The sequence below is a fragment of the Homo sapiens genome, chromosome 1, assembly GCF_000001405.40.
Source record: "Homo sapiens chromosome 1, GRCh38.p14 Primary Assembly".
Lineage (NCBI taxonomy): Eukaryota > Metazoa > Chordata > Mammalia > Primates > Hominidae > Homo > Homo sapiens.
This window is the reverse complement of record NC_000001.11, coordinates 112,017,618-112,030,306: the sequence shown is the minus strand read 5'-3', so window position 1 is coordinate 112,030,306 and position 12,689 is coordinate 112,017,618.

Here is a 12,689-nt window from a genome sequence, read left to right as displayed (position 1 = left end):
TCCTCTCCAGCATCCAATGCCTCTGTTCCAAGCACTTCTCCCTTTCGGCTGTTAAGAATTAGCTGCTGCAGCTGCATCTGAATTATACCTTCCTTATGTGGGAGCAGAAACAGAGTGCCTGGACCCATCTCCCTTCTAAGAAGACCAGAACACATATTCAAGGCAAAAGAAAATACTGTGGAGAATCTCTTGGCCCCTAGAGCTCACAGCTGTGTGCAGTCGTTTGTAGGAAGATACTGAAACTCTTGACCTTTTCAAGGGAATGTGATGGGCAGATAGGAGCCCATGTTGGGAGTCAGGCAGCGTCCCGTAAATCATCCTACAAAAGTACTCAACTGGCCCCACACATTTCTAGCAATAAATGGTCGGCCACCCAGAAAGGAATGCCTACCACAGCGTTCTACCCAAAGGTGATATGATAAAACGATGGAACAGACTTGCAGGCACATTTCAGGTTCAGGTTCACATTTACAGCCCAAGAAGTTTATACGTACGGATGAGTCCCTGTAGCTACATTTTTGACTGTGTATGTTGGGTTTACATATAAATGTGTGTTTGTGTGACATAAATATGTGCTTTTCCTGCTTTGGTGACTGTTATGGTTTACAACTCTGTTGTGTACATCAGCGTATCTCTTTACAGAGGCTGACGGCCTCTAGGAATGTGTATGTACCTATGGGTATTGCATATCTTTCTGTGTTGGTGGCTGCATTTGTCTTGTTGTGGGTACATGTGTGTGGATTTCTGTCTGCTCTCTGAGTGTGAGTGACTAATGCAAACAGTGAAGACAAAACATCTAATGTGTCAAGACTAAATCCTCTATTTTCCTTTAAGTGGATCTTAGAGTTCAAGAGACTGAACACTGACCGGATTCATCTACTCTACTCCACAGGGCCATAACCCTGGAATGGTATATGCAAATAGTATTGTAATGGTGAAGGTAACCAAGGAGTACATTTGTGTGTGCCTGTGATGGGTGTGGGAAGGGTACACTGCGGTGTTTATTAGAGCAGAACTTGTCCCTGTGGACCATTTCATGCATGAGCAGCACCAACAACACAGCCTGGGGCCTGCGTGGTCCAGAGCAGCTCTGGGAGACAGCAGAGGCACAAGGTGTTTGCGTGTGTGTGTGTGTGTGCATGATCAAGGCCAACACATTGCCGAGCTCTGGATCCACCATTTGCTGTGTGTTCTGTGGAGTTCCAGGAGGTGTCATGCACACTGAGTACAATGTGAATATGCCCCGTGGATTTGTGCAACACAGAGGCCCTGGGCAGCGTGGTAGACACAGGGTTCCTTCTCACCATATCCCTATTCCCAGTCCTTCCATCTCAACCAGACAGGCCCCCGCCCTGAGACAGTGTTGCTATCCCCAGGCCCCTTCTCATGACAGCTCCCTGATCTGAGGCTGGACAGAAGAAAGCCCAGGCACTCATTTCCAGGGGCCCAGCTCCCCAGAGTGTGGAAGCACAGCCAGAAACCAAGTCTTCTTTCCCTGGAAGGTTGCAGTGACTTGTAAGAAAAAAGGTTCTTACTGAAAGAAATCAGATGAAAAGGATGGGGAAGAAGGCAAAAAAAATTTTTTTAACTGAGTTTTGCTTAGGAAAGGTCAGCCCCAGGAATCTGCTTCCTCACCAGCGTGAGTGCTCCGCGACCTTCTCCAGATCAATAGGACACTGATCACCTCATAAAATCACGTTGAGGCAGCAGGGGGCTGCTGGAGGGAGGCTGCCTAGCACCAGCACTGAGTCCCCTGAGGGCAGGACTCTTGGCAGAGCCCCATGCTGCCAACCTGCCCCTGCCCAAGCCCTCCTGCCACCTCTTAGGAGCCCAAAGCAACCCGGTTCTCATTTTCAGGCTCTACGGCTCCATGGATAGCTGTCCTTGCTTATGACTATGAGTTGGGAGCACCCTTTCTGGAGCAGCCTGGGCCCCTTGGTCAGGCCACCCACCACAGTCTTCCAAGGCTCAGGCCACTGCTGAGTAGAGTGTAAGTGACACAGGTAGTCCCCAGGACAGAGAAATGTGGCATTTACCATTGGTCAGCAGAGCCACTTGCAAATTATTTCTCAGTAAATGGTATAGGTGCAGTTGAGGGAGAGAGAAGCTGAGAATCCTCTGTGCACATGCTTGGCCTGCACATGAGCATCTGCTCAATCCCTTGCACCCTCAGAGGATGCACAACTTTGACATCTTTAGCCAGCCCTAGCTATAAAGTGCAGCACAAACAGTCCACAGGCTTGAGGGGTGTGGGAGCAGGAAAGGGGGACAGTGACACTTTCAAAGACTGGAAGATGCTATTAACATGTCAGTCCAATTATGGTAATGTGCTGGGGTAATTGGCCCTCCAAGGGCTCAGGGGATGAGCATGAGTACAGTAATTGCAGGTTCACTTTGCTCTGCATTCTTTACCCTGCTTTGGTGACTAATTATTAGTATTTAGCAAGTGGATTTTGTCATCTTCAAAGCAGGTGCAGCTGTGGCTCAGGCATTGGAGCTGGGGCCAGCTAAAGGTCAGCTTCTGCTCGGGGATAATTAATTTGTCTTTTGTGGATCTGAAATGTGCTCCAAGCTTGTCTCTTCTTTTTTGCTTCCAAACAAACAAACCAAAGGGAAGGAGAATATACCTTACAGTTTATTTCAGTGCCCTTTCCATTAAAAGGCCAGAATTGACAAATAGGGGTAAAATGACTGGAGGAGGTCATTTGTGAAACTCCGTTTTCTTTAGGAAAAGAGCCATAAATTGATTCCCTGCCAGGATCCCCATGAATAGAAAAACCACATAGTCTGAAATGGTAGTCAACAGGTGAGTATAGTCTATAAATTCTTTGACATTCTACTTATTTGCTTGTTACCACTTACAGATTGGACACTAGGACACTCTGTTCCCAAAAGGGTTTTGGAATTCAAAAATGAAGGAGAATAACAATAGTGCATAGCTATTGAATAACTACTGGGTCAGATACTACGCTCATGCACATAAAATGCTTACTTTGTCTAATCCTCACCACAGCCCTAGGAAATAGGTGCTGTTATTATCCCCATTTTATAGCTGAGAATCTGAGGCTCAAAGAATGTAAAAATGTTGCTCAAAGCTGAAGTAACAGAGCTACATTTAATCCCTGGTCTGTCTGATGCCTAACAAAATCCCTTTATTTAGTGAGGTGCTATGCTTATCTTTCTGGAATGCAAAGGCAACACTCACTAACTTTCCTTTATGGAAGACCAAAAACCCAGACATTTTTTTTTATCAGAGCCTTCTAGGGTACCTCAGGAGGCCAAAGTTTGAATTAAGCATTATTCCATGGGTATGATGCATGATGGAATTTTATCAGAGACAAAACAGAAATCAGCATAGATGAAGAAATAGGAAAGGCAATGGTCCCATCCTGAGTCCTGCCTCTTTATTGAGTCTCCTCAACAACTCTGGCACATGAAGCCCTTTCCCTATCCCAGCTGCTTTCTACCCTGTAGGGTCCTGGCTCTGTTAGATTCCCACTCATTTTCATGAATTGTCTTGGAAACTCTAATCATTTCATATTCATTTATTTCTCTAACAAGGATCCAAATGCATTTAGGTCACAGAACTGACCACATGTGCTTTTGCTGCTCCTGGGGTATTTGGCTCTGCCCTGGGGATATAGGAGGTGCCCAATAAGTCCTGACTGAATCAAATTGGGGGAGGAGGGTAGATAAGGCTCCTCTTCTGATAGTTGGGTTGACAAAGGAAGACCTTTTGTTTCACGTTGGCTTGGCAAATACAGGATAATTTAAGAGATAGGTGTGACCTTCTCACACATATACATTTTGAATTCAGAAGAGTGTATGGAAGTTTCTTGTGACCCACCTGCATTGCAAAATGGAATTCAGTCATATGGTATCATTCTAAGGAGTGGCTGGCAAGGTGAAAGAAGTGAATGTATAGGAGGGAGTAGATGCTTCAGGAGTTCAGATTTGTGTCCAAGCCTTGCTGTTATGGCAGGGCAACAAAATTTTGTTCGGTGGTTTCGCTGCAGCCTACATATTGATGCAGCCAAATGAATTCTCCTCTTTGCAACCTGACCTCCTTCTTACTGTGAAATGATCTCATTTCAAGGCTAACCACAAGAGGTTTGGCTGGGCACCCGGCATGCCGTGTGCCTGGCATTTGCAAATCTTCATGCAAAGTGCAAAGTTTTTTTTAAAAGACAGTAAATAATCCTGTCCAGAGAAATCTTGGAAAGGTCTGCTCCCAGCCACGAAGTGAAAAAAAAAAAAAAGCAATTGCTCTCCCCACCCTCACAACCATTATCTGCCGCTCTTCTCGAATGCTAAGGCTTAAGTCGCTTTTAATTTTAGATCAGGAACAATCTGATTTGGGGCCAAGGTCTTTTTTCACTGTCCTTCAAAATGTATTAAGCTGTGGTGTTTTTCCACATCCAGCCTGCTCTGTTTCAGTTTCTTTAGTGCCAAAAGCTGAGGCTCCACGAAGAATTCGACCTATGGCCAGGATGCAGTGAGATTGTACCCTGCAAAGAGCATCACCCTCCTGCCTACAGTGGGAAGCCCAGCAGTTATATGAGGAAGACAGAGAGAAAGAGAGATGGTTCATTGTCTGCCCATTGTTGGGGGGTACTCCTCATTTGCTTGGTAGAGTGTGGTGATGCCTACATGGCTGGTCAGGCAAATGACCAGAGACTAAGAGAGTAGGCAGAGTTCCCAGAAGCTCAGGCCACTGCTGCCCACTTCCTAACAGCATACTCCCTCTGTGCCCCTGTCTAACACAGAAAAGAGAAGGTCCCCTTGCAAACCAGGTTGTCCCTTGGTCAGTGCCATCTTGCTCTCAGTCTCCTGTGCCACCAGTGGACCCTGAGCATGCAGGTCATTCTTCCCAAGCAGAGGGACCAGGTGTGGGATGGATGCTGATTACTGGACCTCACTTTCAGTTCTGTGGACAGAAACTCAGCTGCCCATACCAGCCTTTGTTGGTGAAGCCTTAGCTCTGTCTCCTGGGGGTGTTCTGCTCCCAGCATGAACCTCCACCCAGGATGAGATGTGCAGACATGGTGGAGGCTGAGATGCAAAAGACCCCATTTCCCTAAGCGGACTCTATCTCACTGTAGACATCAACATTGAATCTACTTGGCAGGACATCAATCCTCTCATTTTGTTCCTTTGAAGTCTTCCACACCTCAGTAGACAGATCTGATTCTAGACCTTGGCCCATTCCAGAGTCCCTCAACTGCAGTTCCTAGAGCAGGTCCCAGGATATGACCAGGTAGTCCTGTTCAACATGGCCTGGACACCATCTTGGCCTCTCAAACTGGATGGAGTCTTGTGGATATCAGAATTGACTCCTGAGCAAGATGCCAAATTTCTTTAACCCAGGTACTCCCCATTGGGATATTCTTTCTCTAGGCCTCTGACAAGAGGAATGTGTGGTGGAGGGTGGGAGAAATGTGAGGAAAGGAGGACGAGCTAACAGTGAGTGATAGGTTGAAAACGGGAAGAGTTTAACTCTAAGGCACTGCTGGGCCCCTTGGGATCCCAGGCTCTAAAGAGCCTGGGAAAGTGACAAAATATTTATATACATATATTTTTTCCTTCCTTTAGCCATGACCTTTCTTGGGAACACTTGACAAGGTTGTTGGTGAACAAGCATATCCAGTGTGCAGCCAGACAGGCTGGTAAGGTGCTAAGGAGAACAGCAGCAGCAGCAGCTAATGGGATGGCCTCCTTTTTCAGAGGAAGCAGTACCTCTCTGGCATCTCTGCCTGGTGCCATGCTGCCTGAAGTAAGAAGAATCAGCTTCTGGAAAAGAGATAAGTGTCTCTGAGTTGCACTAATGAAATGCCCTGAATGCTCATTGGGTGGGGATGCAGGAGTGAGTCAGAATGGGACTGGTCCATGCAAGAGACTTGGTTTCCTAAAAATCTGAGCATATTTGGGCTTGAGTCAATGTAACTGGGTCTTTGGAAGGACCTCAGTAACTTACCCTGTTTCAAAGGGATGATTTAAGATTCAAACCACAGGGGACCCATGCTCCAGTCCTCACTGCATGCCCCATAGCCCTGACCCCATGGAGATATTGTTGGGAGCAACACAAGGTGATATTCCTCAGTCCTGATCTTCATTTGAACTGACATGCCATCCTACATATGCCCCTTCCTCTTTTCCTTCATTAAATTTCATTAGAATCCACACAGAGTTGTGGAAAGGGCATGGGGACCAAAAAAAAAAAAAAAAAAAAAAAAGATGTGGAAAACTATCTCCACTCTATCCACAAATAGCTGACTGCAGGTAATTTGCTCTTTTCTGCTGGATTGGATCTGTTTATGTTTTATGGTTCTGCGCTTTCAAGATTCTATGCCTAAATCTTGATACCTGGCTCAGTGTTCTACTTTCCAAATATGTCTTCTCTGTCTAGAACTTTGGTTGGGACACCTTAAATCCTAGTGTGGTTTTAGGGACCAAATCTGAACTTTCCTGAGATTCATCCTGAAGAGTCTTTGGGCTCTTCTCTCCTCCTAGGTTTTAACCCTCCTCTTCTTTTCTTCTTGGGTATGGGCTTCCAACGTCTCCATGATAAACTCTTTGCACTCTCTACCTTTTGGCTTTCTCCAAAGGAAAATATTTCTTTCATTCATTCAACAAATATTTACAGAGTGCCTTTTATGCAATAGGCCCATGTAGCAGTCAGCTGTTGCTGCATTAATGCTACATAAGAAAGAACCCCCAGGCTGGGTGCAGTGGCTCACGCCTGTAATCCCAGCACTTTGGGAGGCTGAGGCGGGTGGAACATGAGGTCAGGAGATCGAGACCATCCTAGCTAACACGGTGAAACCCCATCTCTACTAAAAACAGAAAAAATTAGCCGGGCGTGGTAGTGGGTGCCTGTAGTTCCAGCTACTCAGGAGGCTGAAGCAGGAGAATGGCATGAACCTGGGAGGCAGAGCTTGCAGTGAGCCAAGATAGCACCACTGCACTCCAGCCTGGGCGACAGAGCAAGACTCCGTCTCAAAAAAAAAAAGGAAAAGAAAGAACCCCCAAATATCAGTGACTATCAACAACAAACATTTGTTTTTCTTGCTCACAGAGCTACAGGTTGGCTGAGATAGCTCTTCTTCAGGACTCAGGATTGGGTTCAGGTCTGCTTCTCAGGTCTTCATTTCAAGTTACAGGAAGAAGAAACAGCTATGTAGGGAAGCTCTTCTTATGGCGGGGAGAAATATCTTCAAGAAATCAAGCCAGGCCGGGCGCGGTGGCTCACGCTTGTAATCCCAGCACTTTGGGAGGCCGAGGCGGGCGGATCACGAGGTCAGGAGATCGAGACCATCCCGGCTAAAACGGTGAAACCCCGTCTCTACTAAAAATACAAAAAATTAGCCGGGCGTAGTGGCGGGCGCCTGTAGTCCCAGCTACTTGGGAGGCTGAGGCAGGAGAATGGCGTGAACCCGGGAGGCGGAGCTTGCAGTGAGCCGAGATCCCGCCACTGCACTCCAGCCTGGGCGACAGAGCGAGACTCCGTCTCAAAAAAAAAAAAAAAAAAAAAAAAAAGAAATCAAGCCAAACCATGCAAGCATGTTTAAAGCCTTTGGTCAGATGTAGTTTACTTTACTTCTACTAACATACCATTAGACAAAGCAAGTCACAGGGCCAAGTTGAAAGTCAATGAGACAGGGAAGAATTCTCCACTTACAGTTAAGCCGTGCAAGGATAGGAAAAGAAGGAAGAATTATGAACAGATAATATGATGTAAAATATAAAAACATAAATATAAAACAGTTTCTACTTTCATAAAGGTCACAGTCTAATATAAATGACAGATATTAAACATGCAACAAGAAAATTAATATATAATAAACTGGGATAAATTTTGTTTTTTTGTTTTTTTGTTTTTTTTTTTCGAGACAGAGTCTTGCTCTGTCACCCAGGCTGGAGTGTTGCTTGGCTCACTGCAACCTCTGCCTCCCAGGTTGAAGCAATTCTCCTGCCTTAACCTCCCAAGTAGCTGGGATTACAGGTGCCTGCCACTGCGCCCAGCTAATTTTTGTATTTTTAGTAGAGACAGGGTTTCGCCATGTTGGCCAGGCTGGTCTTGAACTCCTGACTTTGTGATCCACCCGTCTTGGGCTCCCAAAGTGCTGGGATTACAGGCGTAAGCCACCACGACTGGCCTGATGAATGTTAAACAAAAATGCATAACATGAGGGACCTACATGTAGATTGGGTGGACTGAGAAGTCCTCTATGAGGTAGCACCATTGAAGCTGAGACCTGAAGGGCAAAACGGACTCAAGTAAGCCCATAGAGGACAAAGAGTTTTCCAGCCAGTGGGAATGGCTTGTGCAAAGTTCCTGGGGGAAGTGATGATCTTGACGGTTGAAGAACTGGAACAAGATCCAGTGTAACTAGAATGTAGTAAGGGAGGACAAAGTAGTGTGAATGAGATTGAAGATGCCTGCAGGTGCCAGATCATGCAGGTTCCTGGACTGTTACTGCTCTCTCTCGGACCTACCAACTATTGCTCTTCCATTTATTCAGTGATGCTTAAAGCACACACACAAACACACACACACACATACACACACACACACACACTCCTCCTTATAGCTTCCTTAGGTTGATCGATGTGTCAAAGTCATTTTGTATTTCAAAGAACAAAAGCAAAAACAAAACAAAACAAAAAACCCTTTAGTCTATGTGTTGCAGGGGCTTGTGCTGGGCCAGGATTCAGAAAGTCTGGAGAACTATAAAGTTTCACCTGGTTGAGAATCACTTGCAAAACCAGAAAGTAGCATTTCACGGCTTAGAAAGGATTAACAGTCACAGCTTAGCACGGACTATCTGTTAAGTGAATTCCTGCATCTATGGGGAGCTGGTAGAGGCTCCTGTCCCGAACAAAGGAGGATTGGAGGAGTCTCCATGCTGAGAGTCATCATTCAGGGCAAGAGAAGCAGGCCTGGTAAAGTTATGAGAAGGTAAATTTCTGGATACAGCTTTAAGTTGGCCCTCAAATCTTCTCTGGCACAAGGAGACGCTTTGGAATAATGAAAATCTTCTATATCTTTATTAATTAAGGTGGTGTTACACAGGTTTGTCATTTGTCAAGACTCATCAAACTATACACTTAAAATGAATACCTTTATTGTATGCAAATTATAACTTAATAAAGTTGATTTTAAGGGTAAGAAATCAAATCAAATCAAATAATAAACAGACAAGAAAACAAAGTAAAAACCTGACGCTGGCCCACCTCCATGTTTTCTGCAAAGATTACAGTAAATTTTAAAAAGGAAAAGCGTTCAATGTACTCTTAAATATTAGAGCACAAATAGCTTTCTCTACTCTGGGACTCTTTTAACAGGAAAATGAGAGGGGTAGGGAGGTGCTCTCTCCCACCTTGCCAGAGAGCACTGGGCCACTCTGAGAACCCGAGAACTCAAGGATGTTAGTGGTATAGTACCTGGGTGGGGATCAGGAACACCACACAGGATTGGTGGCTGTGCCTGGTAGATGATATAGGACCTTCTAGGGGAACAGAGACCCCACCCGGCAGAAGGGAGAGACACCCAGCCATTTGGAGAAGATGTGGCAGCAAGGGTGGGCGCCGGTCCAGTGGAGCCCAGGAGAAATGGCAGCATGTATGGCAGGGCTGTATGCAGAAACACAGAAATATGGAAATAAAATGCCTGCCACAAGTGCAAACCACAGATGTAACTTTAAATTTTCTAGTAGCCACATTTGAAAAGGCAAAACAAACAAAAAACTAAACTCAGTATCCAAAATATTGTCAAGTCAATATGTAATCCATATGAAAAAGATAGTACTGAGACACTTTACTTTTTTGCACTGCCTTTGAAATCCAGTGAGCATTTTACACTATGGCATGTCTCAATGTAGATCAGCTGCATGTCAATGGCGCAGTAGCCCCACACGTGACCTTCCTTCTGGACAGCACTGCTCTGTGGGCATAGCAGCACCCACGTGACCAATTTTATTGTATGCAAGGGCTCTCGCCACCCCACTCCACTCAAGAAAAAGCCCACAACTCAGGGTTTCCACCCATACCAGGAAGTAGGGAGTTCACAGGGGCCAGGCCTTGGGTGGGCAGGCAGAGATGAGAGTCAGAAATAAGAGCTATTGCCATGAATGAGAGCCATAGGCTAGAGAGGCTTGGAAAGCTCAGATTACATGTATATTTTAAAAGTCTAGCTCCAGTGTAAGCTTCAGTGTTCTGTTAACAATGAGCATCACAGAAAAACATCAATTGCATCTTGTCAACCCTCTTACCCTTTGCACTTCTATTTACCAACAATGTTCATGCTACATTGCAGGACCCCATTTTCATTCAAGCCACCTATAATTCTTTCTTAGTTTATCTTGTTTATTCCATCCCATCCTAAACCAACTGGCAGAGTAGAATATTTTAAAGCTTAATTTCTGCAATTTGTGTTACAAAAACAATTGGCTTATTGGATCAGTGTTTCAAACTACAGTTACCCTCCTTCCTCCTTTTAACTCCCTCTTCTCCTTTTAGCCCCCTCCCCCTTTAACTTGTCCTGATTGACAAGTTTCACCCGGCTGAGAATCACTTGCAAAACCAGAAAGTAGCATTTCACAGCTTAGAGAGGATTAAAACAGTCACAGCTTAGCAGTTACTATCTGTTAAGGGAGTTCATACCTCTACAAAGCTTAAAACTGTGCCTGGCACAAAGTAAGTGCTCAAAAAGTGTCAACTACTACTAGGACCAAGTAATTGAACAATATCATTCAACAGGTATTTCTTGGGTAACTGCTCTGTGCCAGGCACTGTCCTAGTGTTAGGGAACAAAAGGGAACAAATGGATCCCTACCCTCAGAGAGTTAACATCACAGCTGGGAAGATAGACAAGCAACAGCAAACATCATAAATATGTAGATTTTATTGAATGCTAGAAGGTGGTAAGTCCAGTGGAAAAAAAATATAGAGCAGCTTAAGGGGATTGAGAGTACAGGGTGGAGAGGCAGTGTGACTGGAGCAAAGGCTTGAAGGAGGTGAGGGGGGTTATCAGGTGGAACAGCCAGTAGAATAGTAGAATAGCTTTAGGGCTGGGGTGTCTGGTGTGCTGAAGAATCATGTCTTTGTCCATTTGAACTGTGAGAACAAAATGCCTTAGGCTGGGTGACTTATAAACAACAAAAAACTTACTTCTCATGGTTCCAGAGGCTGGGAAGTCCAAGATCACGGTCCTGGCAGATCCTGTATCTGGTGAGGGCCCACTTCCTGGTTCATAGATGGCCATCTGTTTGCTGTGTCCTCACATGGTGGAAGGTGCGAAGGAGCTCTCTGGGGCCTCTTTTCTACAGGCCCTCTAATCTCATCACGACCCAGGGCCCTCATGACTAATCAACTCCCCAAAGCCCCACCCCCAAATACCACCACACTGGGGATTAGGTTTCAACATATGAATTTGGGAGTAAACATTCTGTTTGTAGCAAATAGCAAAGGGGCTGATATGGAGAGAGCACAGAAGGTGAAGACTAGGAAAGTAATGACTAATAGAGAAGGAAATCGAAGAATTAACAAAGAGAACAGAGTGGGGGTAAATGATAGCTTACGGGGGCCCTCAGGCTGGCGTAAAGACTTCAGCTTTCACTCTGAGGAATGGGGACACATTACAGGGCTTGGGGCTGAGGAGGGACAGGACCAGATTTCCATTTTAAGTGGCCTGGGTTAGCTGCTTTACTGAGAATAGACTGTGGAAGGTGGAGACAAGGGTGGAACAGGAGACCAGTGAGGAGGCTATTGTGGTGATTCAGGCAGGAGATGAGGTGACTTGGCCCAGGAAGCCAGCACTGGAGTGGTGAGAAGTGATATCACTGACTTGTAATCAACTGGCCACGTCTGTATGTCCCTATTAGCTGGAACTGCCCATCAGGCAAGTGATGATGTTTCTTACCTCTTTATGCCATCGTCAGTAATAAATATTGGTCATTTAGTTTTGTATCTAAACCAAGTTTGAGACGCAGCTATAAGGAAGTGTCATGGAGAAAACTTATGGGTTATATTCAAATTACCAGCAAATTTCAAGCAAAACCAAATATATCTATAATGGAAGTGTTAATGAAGCAGGTGGAAACTTTGGAGAAAAGGAAATCTCAGGTTCAGGAGCATTAGAAGGAAATGCAGGGAGGGAGGAAGAGAGAGAAAGAGAGGGAGAGAGAGAGACAGAGAGGGAGGGAGGGAGAGAGAGACAGGGACCGAGACCAGAGGACATGGCTCAGCTGTGAGAAATAATCTGTCCACACCTGAGAGAGGCTTAAGTCAGGAAGTTGTGTGGAAATGGCAATCTTGGGCCTGGTCTGGAATTGCAAAGCTGAGAAATAAGGAGTCGGGGTGAGCTAAAATAAATCTTTTACTCAAGCCTAAGGGAAAGAAATCAGGTTAGATTGAAATCCATATTTAAGGGTTAATAATGGTAATAAATTGTACTTAGATGACATTTTTAAAGTTTACTTTTTAAGATACTCTTTTTTATTTTTTAATGTTGTTGAGCTTTTTTTAAAAAAAGTTTTATTTCAGGGGTAGAAGAAAAAGAAGCATGATCATCACATAGTGGAAAAAACACGTGTTGGCCTCAGGGTTCCTGGATATTTAGCTTTATTCTTATTAATTAATTGTGTGACTCTCGGGCAAGTCTTTTCAACTCTCTGAGCCTCAGTTTTCTT